The 22,882-nt window shown below is 34.6% G+C and overlaps 1 protein-coding gene across 2 annotated transcripts in view, besides 1 other annotated feature; it reads left to right on the top strand.

Moving 5' to 3' along the window:
• The window catches only part of GBE1 (1,4-alpha-glucan branching enzyme 1), a 271,943-nt gene that overhangs the window by 34,433 nt on the left and 214,628 nt on the right, over positions 1-22,882 (top strand). For both annotated transcript variants that reach the window (XR_007095662.1, NM_000158.4), the window contains exon 2: positions 21,600-21,769. Coding sequence is in view for 1 of the 2 variants with exons in the window: in NM_000158.4 (NP_000149.4) it covers positions 21,600-21,769 (170 nt within the window). In the remaining variant the exon portion in view is untranslated. The remainder of the gene's footprint in view (positions 1-21,599; positions 21,770-22,882) is intronic.
• Positions 13,861-14,155: a silencer, noted in NCBI's record as "tiled region #13148; HepG2 Repressive non-DNase unmatched - State 15:Elon". NCBI's record gives its function as "represses a minimal TATA promoter and a strong SV40 promoter by Sharpr-MPRA in HepG2 cells {active_cell/tissue: HepG2}" and the evidence as "EXISTENCE:reporter gene assay evidence [ECO:0000049][PMID:27701403]".

The raw sequence follows: 22,882 nt of genomic DNA, 5'->3' as shown, positions 1-22,882 counted from the left end.
TGCAGGATTAAAGGAATTATGAAGAGAATTTTGCCCAGGAATTAAGCATGTTTGCATTTTCATATTTTTATGAAGGAATATCAAGTATCCTGGACATTGAACTGTCTCAGTGTGGAAATTAGGTTGACTGGATGTTACTATGGGTATCATTTCTGCCTTAGGGAAGAGAACAAAAGGAAACAGGACCCCATACCCTCCTCCACCCATCATTACTAACTTTGAATAAGTCACCATGACGTAGACCCATAATCAAAATGTCAGCCCCACCCCAGAAACTGACACATATCCTTGGTATTAAATGAAAGTAATTTTTAAAAAGAAGTCTGCAATATCAGCCGGGCACGGTGGCTCACGCCTATAATCCTAGCATTTTGGGAGGCTGAGGAGGGCAGATCACGAGGTCAGGAGTCCGAGACCAGCCTGGCCAGTATGGTGGAATCTTGTCTCTACTAAAAATACAAAAATTAGCCAGGCATGGTGGCGCATGCCTGTAGTCCCAGCCACTTGGGAGGCTGAGGCAGGAGAATAGCTTGAACCTGGGAGGCAGAGGTTGCTAGGAGCTGAGATTGTGCCACTGCATTCTAGCCTGAAGACAGACAGAGACTCCATCTCAAAAAAAAAAAAAAAGTCTGCAATATCAAAGATGCCATATTTAAATAAAAACTACCAAATAAAGTACAATAAGATACACCATTTAATTTTTTCACCTTAAATTTTTTTCTTAAAAAAAATAAAAACAGTGAAATACATCTTAAATTACTTCACTGCCTGTTACACTGAGAGTCCCAGTGATAGATCTGTTTTATTACTGTTTGTTTCAATAACCATTTCCTGTCTCCCTCTTACTTCCAGCAACATTCTCAAAACCACGCTCACAAACAATAAATACTAAAAGCAGTGGCACTGAAGCATGACGTACTCATCTTCATTCTCCTCTAAGCCTGGTTACCACCAAAGCACAAAAGCCCAGCTCCCACACCCTCAAGAGCAACATCCTGAAGGGGGATTGAAGGGGGATGTATTGTTAGAGATTCTAATCCTGAAAGGAGAAATATGATCTTATGAAAAATACATATAATTGAATTTTATCAAACTTGGGACACCATGTAAAACTGAGTTATTAATGTGGTTCATATTCCTCTAAAAAGCTAAAAAAAAAAAGGCCTATTGATTATCAGTTTAAGTAACCTTTATTAAGAAGAAATATGTTGAGCATTTTTGGGCATCACTTTGTTGGGTGCCCAAAGCCAAGAGAGCATCATCAACTCTGGGGAATGACTGCTTGGAACATTTGGAAGAATCCCTCTGTTGGTACAAGCTTGAAACACAGCTCATGTCATGCCCCAGTGTTGCTTAGAATCTTCTATATGCAGTTATAACCACTGAAGATTTGTTAGTCAATGATGGACCACATCTTCAGTGGTGGTTCCATAAGATTATAATGAAGCTGAAAAAATGTTTATCACATAGTGACATCACCAATAATGCCATAGTGCAATGCACTAATGTGTTTCTAGAGATGCTGATGAAAACAAACCTGCTGTGCTCCCAGTCATATAAAAGTAGAGCATATACAATTATATACAGTATATACTGCTTAATAATGATAATACATGTTACCAGTTATGTATTTATTATACTATACTTTAAATTGTTATTTTACAGTGTACTACTACTATGTATATTAAAAAATTAATTAACTATAAAGCATCCTCAGGCAGGCTCTTCAGGAGGGATTCCAGAAGAAGGCATTGTTATCATAGGAGATGACAGTTCCATGTGTGTTACTGCTCCTGAAGACCTTCCAGTGGGACAAGATATGGAGGTGGAAGACAGTGATATTGATAATCCTGACCCGGGGTAGGCCAAAAGATATAAGGAAAGAAAATAAAAATTTAAAGAAAGAAAATATATTTGTACAGCTTTACAACTTGCTTGTGTTGTAAGCTACATATTATTACAAAAGAGTCCAAAAGTTAAGAAAAAATTAAAAAGTTTATAAAATAGAAAAGTTACTGTAAGCTAAGGTTAATTTATTATTGAAGAATAAAAAATGTTTAAATATAAATTTAGCGTAGCCTGTGACAGTGTGTATAAAGCCTTTAGTAGAGTACAGAAGCAACACGTCTACCAGCAGACATTTAAAAGAGTTTAGTGTACATACTAATTATATGAAAAGGTTTTTTGTTTATATGTCTATTTGTAGGCCTTGTGTCCAAAAATTGAGTCCAGTAACAGGCATTTTGGCAAGCATCTCAGAAATCTTGATTTCGACAAATAGCTCAGTTGAGTGAGATGCAGATGGACAACACAGAAACACACGTTTTGAGAGTAATATGTAAGTTTAAATGCAGTTGTTGGCTTTATAGACTTTATGTGATTAGCATTTTATTTTAGAGGGCTTAGATATGAAGACATTTTTTATTTTTTTCAAATTTTAGATTTGCATTTTTTTATTTTTAGTAAAACTAATTTTTGCTTTTGGTGAATGAAATTTCTTTTCTTTCAATGAAAGACATCACATTTTCATGTATAAGGATGAAATCATTAAATCACTGTTTGTTAAGCTAAGATGTTGTGACTATTAAAGGGGTTTGGAATGATGTAAAGGAGCTGTGGAAACGGGAAATAGAAATTTTGGAATACTTTGTAGTGAGTTAGAGCTTTTATTTATTTATTTTTCTTCAGAAAAGGTTTTTCCTTCCTGAAAAATCTGTGATTCTTTTTATTGACTAGAAAGATTTGGAGCAGGGGTGAATTTGATTAGAGATCATAATTTTAATACACATGTTGGTACTATAGAACTGTGGGAAATAATTAGTGAACAGTATCTTAATGCACTTATTATCATATTGGGAAGCATTTCCATCTTTTAAATTTAGAATGTTAATAAGAAAATGCTTGTAAATACGACCTTTAATGTGAATTTGGAGACAAACCTAGTTCCACTTAAAGTGAGTTATATAAAATATTTTAAAGATAAACATATATATTTCCTGTGGAATGAATCTTTTGTTGCATTTGGGCTTTTCTCAATTATAGCCATGTTCACTGAACCAGTACAGGAACTGAGAATGGAGTCTTGTGGAGAAAAATGTCAAATATACTTTTCTCAGCAGTTGTTGAGCTGCCCAGTTCTTGATGGGGTACAATTATTGTTTAGGTGTTGATTCTAGTAGCAAGTTAAAGGGAGGGAATTTGAAACCTTGTGTTTTCCAAGGATTAGAAATAAAAACAAAGAAAGCAAAACAAGCAAACACAGGACCAAAGCTCAAGCTTTGATTTTGAAGTTGATTTTTGAGGCCGCATGACTAATGCTTTTCATAGTACTGCATACTGGCCGTGAGCAGGAAGCAAAGCAGATAGAGTGGCTGCAGATACATAATTACATGGCTGCCTCTGTCTTCTCTGGGAGTTTTTAAATGGAAATAATGTTGTTCTTGAGGGTGCAGAGCTGGACTTTTGTGCGTTGGTGGTAACCAGTCTTAGCAGAGAATGAGTACGTCATGCTTCAGTGCCACTACTTTTAGTATTTATTGTTTGTGAGCGTGGTTGTGAGAATGTTGCTGGAAGTAAGAAGAAAGAAGGAAAATAGGTATTGAAGCAAACAATAATAAAATAGATCGATCACTGGGATTCTCTGTGCAACAGGCAGTGAAGTAATTTAAGATGTATTTCACTATTTCTTTTTAAGAAAAAAATCTAAGGTGAAAAAATTAAATGGTTTATCTTACTGTCCTTTCTGTGGTAGTTTTTATTTAAATATGGCATCTTTGATATTGCAGACTTCTTTTTAAAAATTACTTTTATTTGGCTGGGCGCAGTGGCTCACACCTGTAATCCCAGCACTTTGGGAGGCTGAGGCGGGCGGATCACGAGGTCAGGAGATCAAGACCATCCTGGCTAACATGGTGAAACCCCCTCTCTACTAAAAATACAAAAAAAAAAAAACAAAACAACTTTTATTTAATACCAAGGATATATGTCAGTTTCTGGTATAGGGTGGGGTTGACATTTGGAAAATGAATAAGGAAGTATCAGAAAGCTTTAGATATGTTATATCCTTGAGGATATGACACTATGAGCAAATAACACTAGAGAAGCCTTACCAACCTGTAATTTCTTGAAGACAGGTACCACGTTTTTTTCATTTTTATTTTGTTCCAGTGATATTTTATTCAGGAGTGCCTACTATTGTTAGATATCTGATTAGGTATTAGAGATTTGAATAGATTATATGTATGCAAGTATGAGATTATATATGTGTATATAAGTACATATATATTTACTTGTGTGTATATATATATATATATATACACACACACACACACACGTGTGTGTGCCCATGCACATACCCTAGAGCCTAAACATTTTTTGAATGAGTTAATAAGTGGGTTAAAGGGGGTGGGAAAACTGAATATAGACAGAGCCATCGAAGCCTTGAAGGGTCTCATACATTCCATTTCAGCAGAATGGTCAGGTTTAGCTGGCCATATTTTGGATTAGGACAGTTATGACTACTATTACAGTGATTTGAACAGTAGACTTGCTAATGAGATATAAGTTTTCATTATTTGGCTGTCCTCATTTCTTCCTCATCTACTTTTCAATAAACTTTCAAACTTTTCTTAAAGTAGACAATTTGATTAAACATGCTCTACCTTAAAACTTTTAAATTATTTTTAAATAATAAATTTTAAAGTAATATTATAGATCCTTTCATAATTTACTTAATATTTTGTCTTTGTATGTTTATAGTAGGAAAAAATAGAAAAACAGAGATAAAAGCAAAGAAAAATCATTAACCCCATTATCAAGAGACCATAGTTACATTCTGATATACAGTGTATCAGATAACTTTTCTATATATTAGTATACATCCATAATTAAATGGGCAACCCTTTAAACTTGATTCTTTTTTGCACTTAGTGTATCATGAACATCTTTTTATGTCACTAAATGTAGATCCAACACTTCAATATTAAATGTATGAATGTCACATACATAATATCTGTGATACGCATGGGCAGTGCTTAATAATTTGAAAATATTATACATGAGTATTAATTCTAACGGCTAAGTTTTCCCATAAGAATTTTGAGAATTCTTAAGAGGGATTTGAAATTGTGTTGAATTAGCCACTGTTACAAGTTATTACAATGATGATGATTACTGTTTTTAAGGTACTTTAAAATAAAAAGCTCTTTTAAAATTCTGGTTCTGCTAATAACTTGCTGAGTGCCCTTAGTAAAGTAGCTTAACTTTTCTGATTCTTGGGTTCCTCATTTGTGCAACAAGTACAGAATTTTTAACATACAGAATAGAAAGAATTAGATGTTGTTTGGGGGGCACTTAGCACAATGCTAGGTACATAGTAAATGCAATAATCAGTATCAGTTATTGAAATCACCCCAGATTGTTAAGAAATTTTCTACTCTTACAAGCATCTCATGGTGAAACATGCTGAGAGAAACATTTGTTCTAGCTCTGTTTCTTAATGGTTGCTGTACTAGATGCTGAGGACATAATTTTAAACAAAACATGATCCTTGGCTTTATGGCACCTATAATCTGGTAGGGAAAATATGTCAGCAGATAAATTTATAATACTGTATAATTATATACCATTTGAGCAGTTTGGTCAAAGCTCTCCGTGAACTCAGTCTTGGGAAAGGTTGACCCATAAGTAATGAGGTGCCTATGTGAGTTCACTATTTCACTTGTTTTAATTATGAATAGGCCAAAACAGTAATTATTTGTATCAGTATGTCTGGTCAGAGCACTTTGGGATCACAGAATTGAAAAACTGTTCCCCATAAGCAATACAAGGCTTAGGTGAATTTAAAGTTTCCATTTTACTGATGTTGAATAGGCTACTAAATTAAGTATCAGTATGACATTATTAGCACACAGATTTAGTTGTACTTACATGAAATTTAGCTTTGGGTTTTCTTTCTTTTTTTTTTTTTTCATGTGTTTTTATTTATTTATTTATTTATTTATTTATTTTTTATTATACTCTAAGTTTTAGGGTACATGTGCACATTGTGCAGGTTAGTTACATATGTATACATGTGCCATGCTGGTGCGCTGCACCCACTAATGTGTCATCTAGCATTAGGTATATCTCCCAATGCTATCCCTCCCCCCTCCCCCGACCCCACCACAGTCCCCAGAGTGTGATATTCCCCTTCCTGTGTCCATGTGATCTCATTGTTCAATTCCCACCTATGAGTGAGAATATGCGGTGTTTGGTTTTTTGTTCTTGCGATAGTTTACTGAGAATGATGGTTTCCAATTTCATCCATGTCCCTACAAAGGATATGAACTCATCATTTTTTATGGCTGCATAGTATTCCATGGTGTATATGTGCCACATTTTCTTAATCCAGTCTATCATTGTTGGACATTTGGGTTGGTTCCAAGTCTTTGCTATTGTGAATAGTGCCGCAATAAACATACGTGTGCATGTGGGTTTTCTTTTAAATCTGCTTGTAGCATTATGCTCTTGGTTATAGTAGTTTCATTTGGTGAGGAACTTGATAATATGGTAAGTGAAATGTATCAGTGTTATTTTACATTCATACATTACATCATTACAAGACCTACAGAGTAGAGTTGCTCAGTAACATTTAAATACCTTATCTCAATTTCAATTTGGGTAAATAGTTAAAAGAATAAAATAGGTAATGGAGGAGATGTAATAAATTGAGACATGCACACAATGCAGAGGACCACTGTACTTGCCAAACTGTACCTGTGCTTTCAGACCTATTCTGTTTCATCGGAGTTAGGTTATTGGCTGTAAAATCAATGGGTTTGTGTATATAAGATATATATATATATATATACACACACACACACATACACATACACACACAGTGTGTGCGTGTGTGTATGTGTGTATATGCATATGTTATACAATGTGATATATATGTAGATAGATAGATATAGATATAAGGCTTGAATTTTTATAAATTAAAAGAGATCTTGCCAATATGTAGGCAGCCACTATGAAAGCTCTTATGATCTTTGTAGTTTTGTGCCTGACAGAATTTTGAAACCTTTGTCTCTCTCAGTAAAGGCAAAGAACTGTCAGAGTGTTTGATAGATCTTTGATATTTCACTGCTATTTAGTCCAAAAGATGTGGATTTTTTTGTTGTTGGAAATATATATATCTCCTGAGATTCTTTGATATATTTTAATGTAGTGTGTCCTATGCCATTGTCAAAGTGATAACTGATTCATTTATCCTGTTCCTAATATAAAAACATTCACAAGGCTAACATCCATGGCTCTCTGGCTATATTTAATAAATTCATAAGTGTGATTGGGTTTGTTGATATGCAAAGTGTCAATTTATATCAGTTTTCTGATCTTTGATTATTGTTTTAGGTAAAAAAATTAGTGTTTGTTAGTTTTTACTTTACTATTGATATAACCATCTTGTTTGAAACTATATATCATAAAGATATAAATTCTTATATCTCTGATATATAGTTTCAAACTACCTATCAAAATAATACTTCAAACTATGTTTTAAACTATATATTCAAAAAGTATTTGTTTCCAGATCTTGCTTCAGATCAATTAATTCAAGTTTATTGTGACAGGAACACTCCCCAAATAAAAATTCTCTGGGCAATTAAAATCATATGTGTCTCTTTCTCTTTGTTGACTGTATAAAATAAAATAAGACTGGGCATGGTGGCTCATGCCTGTAATCCCAGCACTTTGGGAGGCTGAGGCAGGTGAATCACTTGAGGTCAGGAGTTTGACACCAGCCTGGCCACCATGTCAAAACCCCATCTCTACTGAAAATACAAAAATTAGTTGGGCATGGTGGCACGTGCCTGTAATCCCAGCTACTTGGGAGGCTGAGGTGGGAGGATCGCTTGAGCTAGGGAGGAGGAGGTTGCAGTGAGCCAGGATCACACTGCTGCACTCCAGCCTGCAAGACAGAATAAAACTCTGTCTCAAAACCAACCAACCAAACGAACAAAAAAACCGAAATCCCAAAAATAAAATAGGAAAAGTTAACATACTTTGTGAATTTGTTCACTTACTGTAAGTGATACATTTTAATGTTTTTCAAGTGAGTTTTCCACCAATTTTATTTTTGACCAGTTGTATCACACTTACCTAGAGCAGAATTTTTTTTCTTCAATGGTTCAACTTATTAAAATTATTTAAGACATGCTAAGTAACAAGTAATTTAAACTGAGTATACAAGATTAAGTCAGCTGGTAAACTGTAAACTGCAAAACTTACTGGGGTGGGCAGGGCGCGGTGGCTAACTCCTATAATCCCAGCACTTTGGGAGGTCGAGGTGGGCGGATCACCTGAGGTCAGGAGTTTGAGACCAGCCTGACCAACGTGGAGAAATCTCGTCTCTACAAAAATACAAAATTAGCTGGGTGTGGTGGTGCATGCCTGTAATCCCAACTATTAGGGAGGCTGAGGCAGGAGAATCACTTGAACCCAGGAGGCGGAGGTTGCGGTGAGCCAAGATTGTGCCATTTCACTCCAGCCTGGGCAACAAGAGCAAAACTCCATCTCAAAAAACAAAACAAAACAAAACAAACAAAACAAACTTATTGGAGTGATATTAAGAATGGTCAAGGACCAATGCTTTGGAGGTAAAATCTTGGGTTTATATTTCAGCTTCACACACAGACTAGCTGTGTGACCTTGAGCAAGATTGCTTAACCTCTTCAGTTTTCTCATCTGTGCAATAGGAATAATGCTACTTCTCCCGGTGTTGGGTTATTGTGAGAGCTTAAGTAAGCTTTCATTTGTAAGTTAGAACAATGCCTGGAACATAGTAAGTACTCCATAAGATACTGGTCATTATAATTTACAATTTGTAATATTTATAAATTATTATTATTTTTTCTGTCCAGATTATTTCTCTTTTTAAAATTTTCTGTGTTGGCCAGGCACAGTGGCTCACGCCTGTAATCCCAGCACTTTGGGAAGCTGAGGCGGGTGGATCACCTGAGGTCAGGAGTTTGAGACCAGACTGGCCAACATGGTCAAACCCCACCTATACTAAAATATACAAAATTGGCCAGGCGTGGTGGCGCACGCCTGTAGTCCCAGCTACTCAGGAGGTTGAGTCAGGAGATTCGCCTGAAGCCAGGAGGTGGAGGTTGCAGTGAACTGAAATTGTGCCACTGCACTCCAGCCTGGGTTAGAGAGTAAGATTCCTTCTCAATAAATAAATAAATAAATAAATAAATAAATAAATAAATAAAATAAAATTTCCTGTGTCTTTTATATTTCATAAGTGGTTTATACCCTGCATTTTATTTTAAGAAAAAATATAAATGTAACATGTTTCTTGTACATGGTAAAATATGTACTTTTTGGTTTTTGTGGGAAATGTGCAAAATAACCTTTGTGTTGGGGTACATTTTTTTTCTTTTTGGGTTGGGAAAATTTTAGCACCCAAATAAGAATCAAAGAAGTTTAGAGTATAGATTATAGGATGGAACCTTTCAATTCAACTTCTTCATTTTGTAGAAGAAGAACCTAAAACTTTGGATATTCATCTTTCCAAAGGTCACATTGCTAGTATCTTAGAGTTGGGTCTAGAGTGTGGACCTTTCGATTCTTTAACCTCCCTCTCCATTTTGTTTTTCCCGTGGTGAGGATAGCATTTTTGACAGTGTTTGAGTAACTGTAACATCCATATTGAAAGACAGAAAAGACATAAGCATCATCACTTTGAAACTATTCATGGATACAATGAAAGTCACATTAAGAACAATATCCTAGTGATGACTTAAAAGATTGGGATTGCTTCTCAGCAAGTTAGTTGACCATACATTCTCAGGAGCATACTACTGTGCAGATGTGGTCCACCTTGCAGAGGACCTAAAGCTTCTGTCTGTCTAGCCCATACCTCTGGTCTTTGCCACGTAATTTTTCCAAAAAGAGAAACCTGAATACAGAAGAGCAGAGTGTTATTTGAGCCAAGAGCTGGTGAAACATTAAGTCAGAATGCTTCCTAGAAATCAGTAGACTAAGACTGTGTTAGCTCATGTTTCATATTACACAAGAGAAAATAAACTGAAAGGTCAGTTGAACAGTTACAGCATTGCCCTTTTCCAAGGTAATCAGCAGAGCATGTAGCAAAGACCTGAACAGGAGCGTGACTGGAAAGAGAGTGGCTGATAAAGAGGCTGGCAGCTTAAAGTGCTTGGGACAATACTTGACACTTCCAGGCCTGACCAGATGGGCCATCTCACAGGGCTTACCTTCAGTAACTCTGATTTATTGCATTCAGATGTGTGTATGTGTGAGCGTTTGTTAGGCAGTCAGGTTTTCACTTTGCCAGAAGACTCTAGAAATTTTAATATTGACCATTAATCATACCTCAGTAAACTGTAAAGTCAATATATTATTAATTTGCTTGCAACCAAGAGACAAGGCACAGTGATTAAAATTAATTTCTAGCTATATTTTGTTAAATTTATTCTAATTAATCTGTTAAGTCAAAATATGTTTACATTAATGGCTTTATAGTAGGTTCTTTAAGTTGTGTCATTAAACGTGATAGTATTTCCATTATTCTGAATGTAGAATAATGTAGTATAAATAAATATTGTTAAAAGAAATGGAGTTTTAAGGATTTCTAAATGGTACCACTAAATGGGCTTTGTCCAGTTTTTTGTTAATTGAATAAGAACATTTCTTTTTCTTTTCTTGATTTTATAGGATTTAGACCTAGAAAGATCTTAGCAGTGATCTCCCTTGACCCCCTCACATCTATGGCCCAGTGCCAGAAATTAAGAAAGAATATTTAACAAATAATAGCCGCTATTTACTTTTGGGACACTCTTTTAAATAGTAGCAACTTTTAAAAGATAATAATTTTGAATTTACCTCATACTTCCTCCCCCACCAAATACTTAATGATCTCTTCATAACCATAACTTCTCTATATATTTTATTAATTTGAGACTGAAAGTAGCCAATTTTCATTGCACTTAACTTTAGACTAAGTAAGAACAAAACTATGACTTAATTAGCTTTTATTCCTTCACATCAGAAAATAAGACACTAACAATTTTTTCTTAAATGTGGACTGAGGATGTGTTTATTAGATTGGTCACAATGCATTTGATTGTGTTTTAGAGATGGTACAATATGAATAAAATTTAAAAAGATTAAAATTAATAACACAATGTGTGCTTGTAATGGGATTAATGTTTAAATTTTATTTTTGTATTAAAATTAGCATAGCAGAGCAATTCCAGTTTTTTCATGTTTTAAGTTTTCTACTTAGAAATTGGAGACTAATGATTTGCTGAAAGTAGTTAATAATTTACAACTAAATGAGATCTTCATTTCTTATTTTTTTTAAAAAGAAAGATGTAACGTGTCATAAAATAATTTATTTTTTGTGGGCTGGTTATATATAAGCACAGCCACCTAGACATCAATGATATTATCATTCCTTTTTATAAATGAGGAAGCAGAAATTCTGAGATTGTTAAGTGAAAATTGAAGGTCAGTTGCTAATGGGACTAGCAATATATAACTCAGTCTTTTATTTGTGAATCTATTCTTTCTTGTGTAGTACCATGCCTGGCACATAGTAGGTGGTATATACCAATTAGTCTTAGAGTAATTCCATATATGAAACAACTCATTTAATAGCTAGTTTCAAATCTCGTGAACCTAGGCATTGATAAAGATTATAATAGTGGGAAAAGCTGCTTGAGTGAAAAACCACCGACCTGCAGTTTGAGCAGAAGTGAAATGGTGGGAATTAACTGTCTGCAACTCACTTTTAATCAGTTAGGAGTAGTTTGCACAGAGTAGTTTGCAGTCATTTTGAAGAACAGTGAGAGGTTTGTGTTTTCACTCCTGGAACAGGCGGTCTCCACTGGGTCATCACATCCCCAGTTTATTATTCACCTGTGCAGATCTGTATACATTTGATCTTGATAGACACCTGAGCTGATGCATTGAATTCTCAAGTGAGACGATATATCTCCTTTTATAGCTGGTCATTTGGTCACACAGGATGTTAAAGAAGAAGAGTGAGGAATTTATCTAAGGACTTCTTCCCATTTTCTGTCCCGTAATGGTCAAAGTTTGTCCTTTGGAGCCTTTATTCTTCTACACATTCATTTTATTTTGCTATGAACTACATGTTTATATCCACTCAGACCATAAATGTTGAAACTCTGATCCATCATGTGATGATATTTGGAGATGGTACCTGTGGGAGGTGATTAGTTAGATCACAAGAGCGGCCCTCTCCTGACGTGATTAGTGGCTTTATAAGAAGAGATTGGGGAGTGTTTAGGTTGTTTCCTCCCTTTCCTGTCTACCATGTCAGGATACAATGAGAATGTGGCCATCAGAAAACAAGGAAGAGTGCCCTCACCAAACGCTGGATCTGCTGGTTCTCAGTCTTGGACTTCGCAGCCTCTAGAACTATAAGAAATAAATGCTTGTTTTTTAAACCGTCCAGTCTATTTGTTATAACAGTTCAAACTGATCAAGACATGCAGTATCTGGCCTCTTCAGATAGCTGCTTGCAAGCCACAACCTCTATAGGGCCAGTCAAGCAAGTGTACAAGGAGAGCCAGTGGGACTGACTAAATCAGGAAGCCACCTATATTATATCTAATATAGTTACAGGAATTATATCTTGTTTATATTCTAATAGTCTATTAATTTTTCTGTTTATCTCATTTCCATCAATCTTATTGAATACATTAATTAATAGTGTATTCATTATTTCACATGAAAGATATTGTGCTAAAAAGTTTAGGTACATTATTTCATTTGATTTTCAAAGCAGACTTGTAAGTTCCATTATTATTCTTATTTCAGATTAGAAAATTTAGTTACAGTTGGTAAGCAGTAGGATTAGGATTCAAATTTAAACATAATAATCATAATCTTAAACCTAACTCTAACCATTTTCTCACCATTGAAAGAATCTGATGGATAATTGGTGCTCACTAAATATTTGTTCATTGAAAACTTATGTGCCAGTATTGTATGTACTAGGAAGACATCAGGGTTCAAAATAGATAATTTTCCCAGTCTTTGTGGAATTTCAAAGCGAAGAATACCATTTAGTTTAGTTCAAAGGAAAGAATTACATTCAGAATTACATTCTCTTTTCTGGTTGTCTTTATCAGTAACTTACGTAATGCTGTCCTACTCCTTGCTTTCTCTTCTACGGTCTCCCATACATAACAGAGAATATCTTCAAGTTGTGGACTTTATAATGTCTTTTATCTCTATATTCTCAGTGACTAGCATAGTACTGGATATACAGTAGACTCTCAGTAATGCTTGTATAATAAATAGATGGATTTCACTATTCCTTGTCACCTTTGCTCAGTTTCATTTCTACTGTTTTCTGATAGATGAAGTGAAGAGTGTATGCTAAGTTGAATACAGATTGGAAATGTCACTGAAAATTTATGTAGGATTTTGAAAATAGATGCATTTGGTGATTTGATGACATTTACAACATTTTAAAAATAAGAAATAGTTTTCAAAAATAAGAAACCATGTGTACCATGATGTCATTTAAAAAATTCTTTTCATTGCTCACTCTTGTCTAAGAGGAGGATCTGCCAATATCTGTGCTTAATCGTTTACTTAATAAATACTTTATTAATTTATGGACTCTGCCTAATAAAATTCATCGTTCAAACTGCTCCCTGTAAAACATGTCTCTGATCATATCAGTTATCTCCTCTGTAAAGTTTTTAAGGATTTTATGTTTTATTCCACTTATTATCTGATTGCAGACAATCTTTTTCATCCCAATTGGCCACTGGAATACTCCACTTTCTCCTGCTCTGACTACACACAGCTAGTCGTCATGTCGTCAAGAAGCATCCAATTTTTACACATGTAATGCGCTTCTCTGTCTTTTCTCCAGCTGTCAAAATGTACTACTCATCCTTCAAGATACAGCACAAATGCCAGCTACTCCCTAAAGCCTTCTCCTAATCTCTTCTTCCAGTCAAAATCACTAGTTCCTTCCTGGTCTTGCTCATTCTTCTGTGAACACTTGCTTATCTCAGGCCTGTCCTGTCATGAGTTGGACATTGTTTCCCATTGCACAGATGAACATCTTACAAGAAGGATCTTGTTTCACGTAACTGAATTATTAGCACACAATAAATATGTTTATCCTGCAATAAGTATGTTGGGTATTTTTGTCGAATAATTGCCCTGATTGAGGAACATAAAATACTCACTTTAAAGTCTCGAGTGGTTAACCTTCATTTGGCAGCCTTAATATATGAATAATTTTGTATATTTTGGTTATTTTTCACTTAAGAAAGAAAGTTTCTGTGAGACACATGCAGTCTTTTTAAAGACTGAGTTGGAGAGCTTTTTTATTTATTTATTTATTTATTTATTTTTATTATACTTTAAGTTCTAGGGTATATGTGCACAACGTGCAGGTTTATTACATATGTATACATGTGCCATATTGGTGTGCTGCACCCATTAACTCGTCATTTACATTAGGTATATTTCCTAATGCTATCCCTCCCCCCTTCCCCCACCCCACGACAGGCCCCAGTGTGTGATGTTCCCCTTCCTGTGTCCAAGTGTTCTCATTGTTCAATTCCCACCTATGAGTGAGAACATGCGGTGTTTGGTTTTTTGTCCTTGTGATAGTTTGCTGAGAATGATGGTTTCCAGCTTCATCCATGTCCCTACAAGGGACACGAACTCATCCTTTTTTATGGCTGTATAGTATTCCATGGTGTATATGTGCCATATTTTCTTAATCCAGTCTATCACTGATGGACATTTGGGTTGGTTCCAAGTCTGCTATTGTGAATAGTGCTGCAATAAACATACATGTGCATGTGTCTATAGCAGCATGATTTATAATCCTTTGGGTACATACCCAATAATGGGATGGCTGGGTCAAATGGTATTTCTAGTTCTAGATCCTTGGGGAATCGCCACTCTGTCTTCCACAATGGTTGAACTAGTTTACAGTCCCACCAACAGTGTAAAAGTGTTCCTATTTCTCCACATCCTCTCTAGCACCTGTTGTTTCCTGACTTTTTAATGATCGCCATTGTAACTGGTGTGAGCTGGTATCTCATTTTGGTTTTGATTTGCATTTCTCTGATGGCCAGTGATGATGAGCATTTTTTCATGTGTCTTTTGGCTGCATAAATGTCTTCTTTTGAGAAGTATCTGTTCATATCCTTCGCCCACTTCTTGATGGGGTTGTTTTTTTCTTGTAAATTTGTTTGAGTTCTTTGTAGATTCTGGATATTAGCCCTTTGTCAGATGAGTAGATTGCAAAAATTTTCTCCCATTCTGTAGGTTGTCTGTTCACTTCAATGGTAGTTTCTTTTGCTGTGCAGAAGCTCTTTAGTTTAATTAGATCCCATTTGTCGATTTCGGCTTCTGTTGCCATTGCTTTTGGTGTTTTAGACATGAAGTCCTTGCCCCTGCCTATGTCCTGAATGGTATTGCCTAGGTTTTCTTCTAGGGTTTTTATGGTTTTAGGTCTAACATTTAAGTCTTTAATCCATTTTGAATTAATTTTTGTATAAGTGTAAGGAAGGGATCCAGTTTCAGCTTTCTACAAGGCTGCACTAACCAAAGCAGCATGGTACTGGTACCAAAACAGAGATATAGACCAATGGAACAGAACAGAGCCCTCAGAAATAATACTACACATCTACAACCATCTGATCTTTGACGACCCTGACAAAAACAAGAAATGGGGAAAGGATTCCCTATTTAATAAATGGTGCTGGAAAGTTGGAGAGCTTTTTTACCCTTCCAAAAATTTTCAACTCTCCACTCCTTTAACCCTATTTTCCCCCTTTTGAGCTATTAAAAATTTCTCTTGAAGTTTTACTTCTGTGCTTTTTCTTGCTTCTAATCCAAGCCTCCCATAGGAAGCAAATGACAAAATAAAATCTTAAAAATCAGCTATTAAGAAAGGAGTTTTCCTCGTGTGTTTCTTGGGTTTCTGGCCTGCTCAGAAGCACTTGAGAATGGATTCTATACTCAATACATTTCCAGGTAAGGGATGATCCATCTCCGCTGAGATGTCTCCTGTGTTCACAGTCCTTTCTGTAATTAGAGCTTCAGTACTGATCTGGGATGAACCAACTGCCTTCCAGGAGAGCAAAGATTTTAGTTTGTTTCATTTTGTTTTCATACCTATCGCCTAGTAGTAACTCCCTGCCGCCCCTCCGTCCCACCCTGGGTAGTCCAGTCAACTTTATTTTCTTCCAGACTTTCCATAACTCACATATTCAAATCAATTTGGAGTGTGTGATATGTGTTAGTGTATTTATATTTGTATTTTTCTATTCCAGGAAAAAAATGGAAAGCATTCTTAAACACTTTTGGAACTTGGGAAAAATCGTAATGTTGCTAATAGCTAATATGTGTTTTAAAATCTAAGCAAGTGTAATAAGTAAAAGAACATTGATAAAGTAAAAAGTATACTATAGTGTTGCCACTTCAAGGTGGAGAAAAGTTCCAGCCACCATTTATTGAATATTGCGGGTAATGCTCCTGCTGTTTCATTGATTCCTTACAATCTATGAGGTTCCCCCGAGCCCCCAATTAACATGTTAAAAAAATTAGGAAAAAGGAGATTAAGGGATTTATTCAGAGTCACATTTGGTGTGTAACAGAGTTAGGATTTGAACGTGGACTATTTCTAGAAATAAAGCTAATATCAGCTACCCCTGATTCTCTTAAATATAAGATTAAATTAATTAAATATAATTATAAGGCTAAATATAATTATAAAATTAATTACCTTAAAATAAGCCGGGCGTGGTGGTGGGTGCCTGTAGTCCCAGCTGCTCGGGAGGCTGAGGCAGGAGAATGGCGTGAACCTGGGAGGCGGAGCTTGTAGTGAGCCGAGATCGCGGCACTGCACTCCAGCCTGGGCAACAGAGTGAGAGTCCGTCTCAAAAAAAAAAAAAAAAAAAAGATTAATTACCTTAAGAGTAAAACAACATAAATAACTTTCTTTAAAAGTGAAATATGACTTTTAATTTGAGATTTAACTTGAAATCTACCTTTTGTGATTAATGATGTGTGATGTCCTTATTGCTTATTACCTTCTTGATCTTGGACAATTTATGTCTTTATGTTTGCCTCTGTCTCTTCCTATGTAACAGAGGATTTAAAACATTGATATAGACGTCACATCTGATAATTTTTATAACAGTTCTTTATATCTATACAAAATGCTAGTTCCTGTAGTAGTTTCATTTTATGTTCTTGGTTACCAGAAATTTGACCTAGTTTTTAAATATCCTGTAAATCCATAGCAAAATATTAGGAGAGATGACTGTAGTAGGAGAGGGCACAGGCATGATGAGCTTGCTGTATCCTCAGGCATTTTCCTTTTTGAGCCACAATGATTTCAAAGTACAATGTGTATTTCTGTATCAGAAGCTGTAGGGCTGACCTTGAGGGAAGTCAAGATACTTAGTTAAAGTAATATAATGCTATAATCGTGGTTCCATGGAAATTTTACTAAATGGGACGTTTGAAAATACTTTAAGAAACTTCCTAAAAATGATTATTTTTTAAACTTAAACTTTACATAAATCTAAAAATTTATCATAAGGTATGATACCAACATTGAAAGTAAAATTACTACCACATTTGTTTATCCTCCCAACGTTATACCTTTTTGGAAAATCAGTAGTTTTCCTTGTATTATGAGGGTGTATGTGTGTGTATATTTTTTACCCTAAGTTCAGTTTTTGTTTTGTTGATTGTTCCACACTGATCATTTTATTGCCTGTTATTACTTACATAACTTAATATGGATTAGCATTTCCATATTCCAAGAAGTATAGATGACTGATATTGGGAAGAGGTTAAAAAAACACACACACAAAGAACCTTTTCTCATATGATTTAAAGAGTTTGCATATGGTATTCCATCAGGCCTGCATATCTAGTTTGTTCGTCTAGGTAAGTATTTTAAGTATTTTGAAACAGTTGCCACTGTTTAAATTAGGAAGAGTTCATAGAAAAATCTGTATTTTTTTATGTTCTTGAATAATTACATGATTGGACAAACTATGCTACGCAGCAATGAGGTGTAACTATTAAATAGAGGCTGTGCTTTTAGATGAGGCTTGTACTCTCCATCTCAACAGTTTCTTTCTGCCTTGTTTTCCTTAATTATGTTATCATCAGCTTTGCAATTTTGTGTTTCTTGTGTGGGGTCAGCTCCTCATAATTGTTACACCTGCCTGGCCTGGCTCCTTGGGGTGGTTCAGTTTATGTCCCCTTGAATAACACTATCTGTGAGACTGGGATTATTTCGGGCAAGATTCCATATCAGCACATTTTGCCCTACCTCATTTTTTTTGATGGTTGTCATATAATTTATTATTTGGATATTCCACAGTTATTCACCTAGTTTCCCATTGTTGCAAAAGTGGGTTATTTTCCATGGTTTTGTAGTATAAATAGTGCCATAAAGAATAAATATTATTATATACATAGATGTCTTTGCATCTTTGTGTGATGTATATCCAAAGAACAAATTTCTAAAAATAGAGTTACTTGAAGAGTGTGATTTTGAAATTTTCATAGCTGTTGCCAAATTGTTTTCTAATTTATATTTCAACCAAGAGCATTTAAAAATGTCTTTTCTCCTGAACCATATCCCATCCATATAGACTATCATATGTTTCTGGGTCTTTTAGGTGGAAAATTGAATTTTGAAGTTTAGGTTTGCACTTCTTTAGTTATATATGAGTTTGATCATTGTTTCCAATGTTTATTGGCCACTTGTATTTCATTTTCCATGATCTCTTGGACTTACTTATTTTTAAAATATTAAAGTTTATAAATTTGATTTCTCTGGAAGTTATTTTGGTTTTAGAGATCTACTTTTTTATGACAAACTTATAGATTTCAATATTTTATTGAATAAGCCATCCTTTCCTTATGGTTTTGAAATGCCCTTTCATCACATACTGAATTTTTGCTTCTGCTTAATACTATTTCAGAAACTCAGTTTTTCTCCATAGATCTATTTCAAATGCTTTCAGTTCCTCAAATTTTATAAACCTAGTTTTACATACTCAGTAAAATTCCTATGAATATTATATAAAATTATGTTACTGTTTTAATAATGTGAAAAATTATAGTTTTAGGAAAACTGTACTTCATTTTTTAAAATGGTAGTTATTTGTTATACGTGATTAGAACAATGCAACAGAGAAAGTAAAAAGAAACCTCACCAAAATAATCCCACTGATATTAAGGGTATATCATTCTTGATATTTTTATATGCCTATCTTTAGATAGCAGGTTAAAGAAAATGCTTGATAGAAATACTATAATGAGACATGAGAAAATAAATGTCTGTTAACTTTAAACAATGAAACTAAAGTGAAATGGAAAGAAGAAATTATTGGAATTCGTATACAAATTTCTTTACCTTAAATAGTTATTTCTTAAATGCTCATCTAAGATTAATAAAGAAATTAAAAAGTATAATGATGACAACCTTAAATTTTACTCTGTGTTGAGTGACTCTCTGCTATAAAATTTCATCCCCCTTTCACTCATGCCTTTTTTTAATATAATATTTTTACTTTGTCAGTTGAGATCCTTTTTTCATGATCACATTCATACAGTTCCACAGTTGTCTAGCCAAGGTTCTATATTTAAGGAGTCAGTTCTTAGACACACTCCTACAATAACTGTTCAGTCTTGTATGTGTTTGTTTTTAATTTTTAATTGCCATTTAGAAAAATGGAAAGTAGCTTATTTTTCTTCTAGAATGGTTCATTAGTGTCATTGACTAAAACTCAATTTTAAATTTGACAATATTTAAAAAAATCCCTTAGATATGAATAGAAACTTGTCTCCTAGGATATTCCTAGATTACTTTTCCTTCTTAGAATTGTGTGGAGTTGGCTTTATCTTTTGGTTTTTAATTAATGTTGCCTTTTTCTGCCTGGTTGTCTATAGACTCATTTCTTTTATCTTTTGAATTTCAGTTGCTTAAATTGGGATACATTTTGTGTGTGTTTGTTTCCCAAACCTTTCTTAAAACATTGTATGCTCTTTTTAATATGTGGATTTAATTCTTTAGGATAATTTTCCAGTTTTATATCTTCCATATTCATTTTATTTGGTTTTATTTTTCAGTCAGCAGCTATATCCATATTTGGATCATTTTTTTTTGTCTATGTTGGGTATCTCTTAGGTTCTTTTTAATATATTCAAATTCATTGTTTTTCTTTAATTATTTCAATTCTCAATTATTTATTCATTTAATAATTTGCTATTTTTGCTATACTTATGTACTTTTTTTTGTTGAGTCTAACTCATCATTATCTATTGATATACTTTATTCCTCCATTTATTTCCTTAAGTCTGCAGTCTTTTACTTTTCATTCTGTTGTCATATAATCTTTCAGCTCTTATTCTTTTGAGTTTATTTTTAATTAAGTTGTATAATGTGAAGTATTTGTAAAAAGGTCCATTTTCTATGTAGCTAAGTTGAGATGTGGTTCATTATTCTGCATCTCAAATTTTGTATATTCCCTGGACATCCCGTGCCTCGATTCCTGCCATCTTTCTGGGAAAGATTCCTTACCCCTGAGGGTATGGGGAGGTGTAGAGAAGCTTATTGGCATTGCCTAGTTCATTGTATAGTTCTGGAACCTTCACTTCTGACATAGAGCACCTGGCACATGGTTTACTTCTCCAGTTTTACCAAGTTTTTCCTAGTTTGTTTCTTACTGGATATAGGGGATACTAATGAAAATAGGGTAGTACTTTTTGGTGTACCAGTACCTGATCCAGGGGAACTGGGAGAGGGTCAGGAGCAGGCATGTGCTGTTCTTTGCCCTGCTTAGGAATCTGTGATTTCTTCTTGTGGCCACTGGCTTTTGTGCTTTGATATGGTGTATGTTCTTGACATGCTTAGTTGCTTTAGGGAAGGAAAAGGCTGCAGGCCAAATCTGGCCCACTACCTGTTTTTTGTAAATAAAGTGTTATTGGAACACAGCCACACCCACTCATTAACTTTTTGTCCATGGCCCCTTTCGTACTTCAGAGACACCCTCGAGTAGCTGTGACAGAGACCATATGGCTGACAAAGCCTAAAATATTTGCCGTCTGCCCCTTTACAGGAAAAGTTTGCCAAACCCTGCAGTAGGCTAATTTTATTTTTCTTGCTGAATTTTGACTGTGTTATTTCATTTTCTTAGGAATCAGAGGAGAGAGATGTAGAGATTCTGTTCCATTACACTGTCTTGACATGGAAGTTGCTATAATGCTAGTTTTTAAAAAAATTCATGAAATAGTATAACCATCATATTTCCTCTCTCATACCAGTGCTTGAAGTTACAAAAAATGCTAGTTAGATTAGCTCAGTTTATTTTAAATAAGAATGATTTTATCCTACCAGGTAGCCTCTACTAATAAATGAAATTATTTATATTATTCTTCTTTAATAATGTCTTTTTTTCCCTGAATAAGACTAAAGCAGTTACTTAATTACAGTAGCTTTTCTAGAAGACTATTTAATTTTCTAACTCATTTTCTTTCATACTTCTTCAAAGGTATAAGCAGTTTAGCCAAATTTTGAAGAACATTGGAGAAAATGAAGGTGGTATTGATAAGTTTTCCAGAGGCTATGAATCATTTGGCGTCCACAGATGTGCTGATGGTGGTTTATACTGCAAAGAATGGGCCCCGGGAGCAGAAGGAGTTTTTCTTACTGGAGATTTTAGTAAGTACTTGAAAGCATTGAACTAAATAGTAATATCTTATTAACTATTTAATACATATATTTCTTATATTTCATGTATTTAACCATATGAACTTTAATGATTACAAATAAATATCAGACTTTTCAGATAGAGCCTTAGAATTTATTAAGCTCTTTGTATGGTGCAGCTGTTTCTGTTATAATGTGATATGTGTATTCTTGAAAGACTTTATGTTCTGTAAAATCATGTACTAGAAATAACAAGGTTTATGAGAAAAATGCTATTAGGAAGACAACTCCAAATTTACTTAACTTTGTTAGCAAGCTCTGACAAAACCAATAGCAATCCAGGTAAAAATATTGGCATAAAGCTCCGCTAGCATTCACACCTGGCTGGCTGGCATCATAGTTCTTGGATCCTCTGTATAGCCTTATACTCTTTTCGGAGTCTTCAGTAAAAGTAGATATCTAATCTGGGGTGTAACCTCCATCACTCATTTCTTTTTTTCCTTTACCTTGTTTTAGAACACAGTGGGAAATATCTTGTCAGCATTGTCATTTGCACTGTTAACTCCACTAGACAGAGTTAACGCTATGGAAAGCAAAGTCAGGTTTCTAGCTTAGAGTCTGGTGGGAGGAAGGACTGTAATGTAAATAACTGTAATACAATCTACTAAGTTTTATTCTTGAAGGGTAAATACATTACTAGAATGATGACAAGGATGAAAGTTCAGTTTTGAAAGTGGAATAACTGGAAAAAATAGGCCTTGGTAAAGGTTCTTGATACAAGGAAAAGGAATATCAAAATGATCATAATCCTTTAATACCATAGAATGGTATAATATTTAAAATTTGATTTCACTGGGCTCAAAAGTCTACATGCTGTGTTATTCAATTTTTATGACGTTTTAGAAACAGCAAAACTGTGGGGACAGATAACAGATCATTGTTGTCAGGGGTTGGGGTGGTGGGTAAAGGTTGATTACAGAGGGACGTGAGGGAATTTTTGGGGTGGTGAAAATGTTTTATATCCTGATTGTGGTGCTGGTTACCTGATTGTATGAATTTATCAACATTTATAGAACTGTACATGTATAAAGAACAAATTTTAATGCAATGTAAATTATTCTTCAA

This window comes from Homo sapiens, chromosome 3 (genome assembly GCF_000001405.40).
Source record: "Homo sapiens chromosome 3, GRCh38.p14 Primary Assembly".
In the NCBI taxonomy this organism is placed as follows: domain Eukaryota; kingdom Metazoa; phylum Chordata; class Mammalia; order Primates; family Hominidae; genus Homo; species Homo sapiens.
Note: the sequence above shows the minus strand (reverse complement) of the source record. Positions and strands in the feature narration are given on the sequence as shown.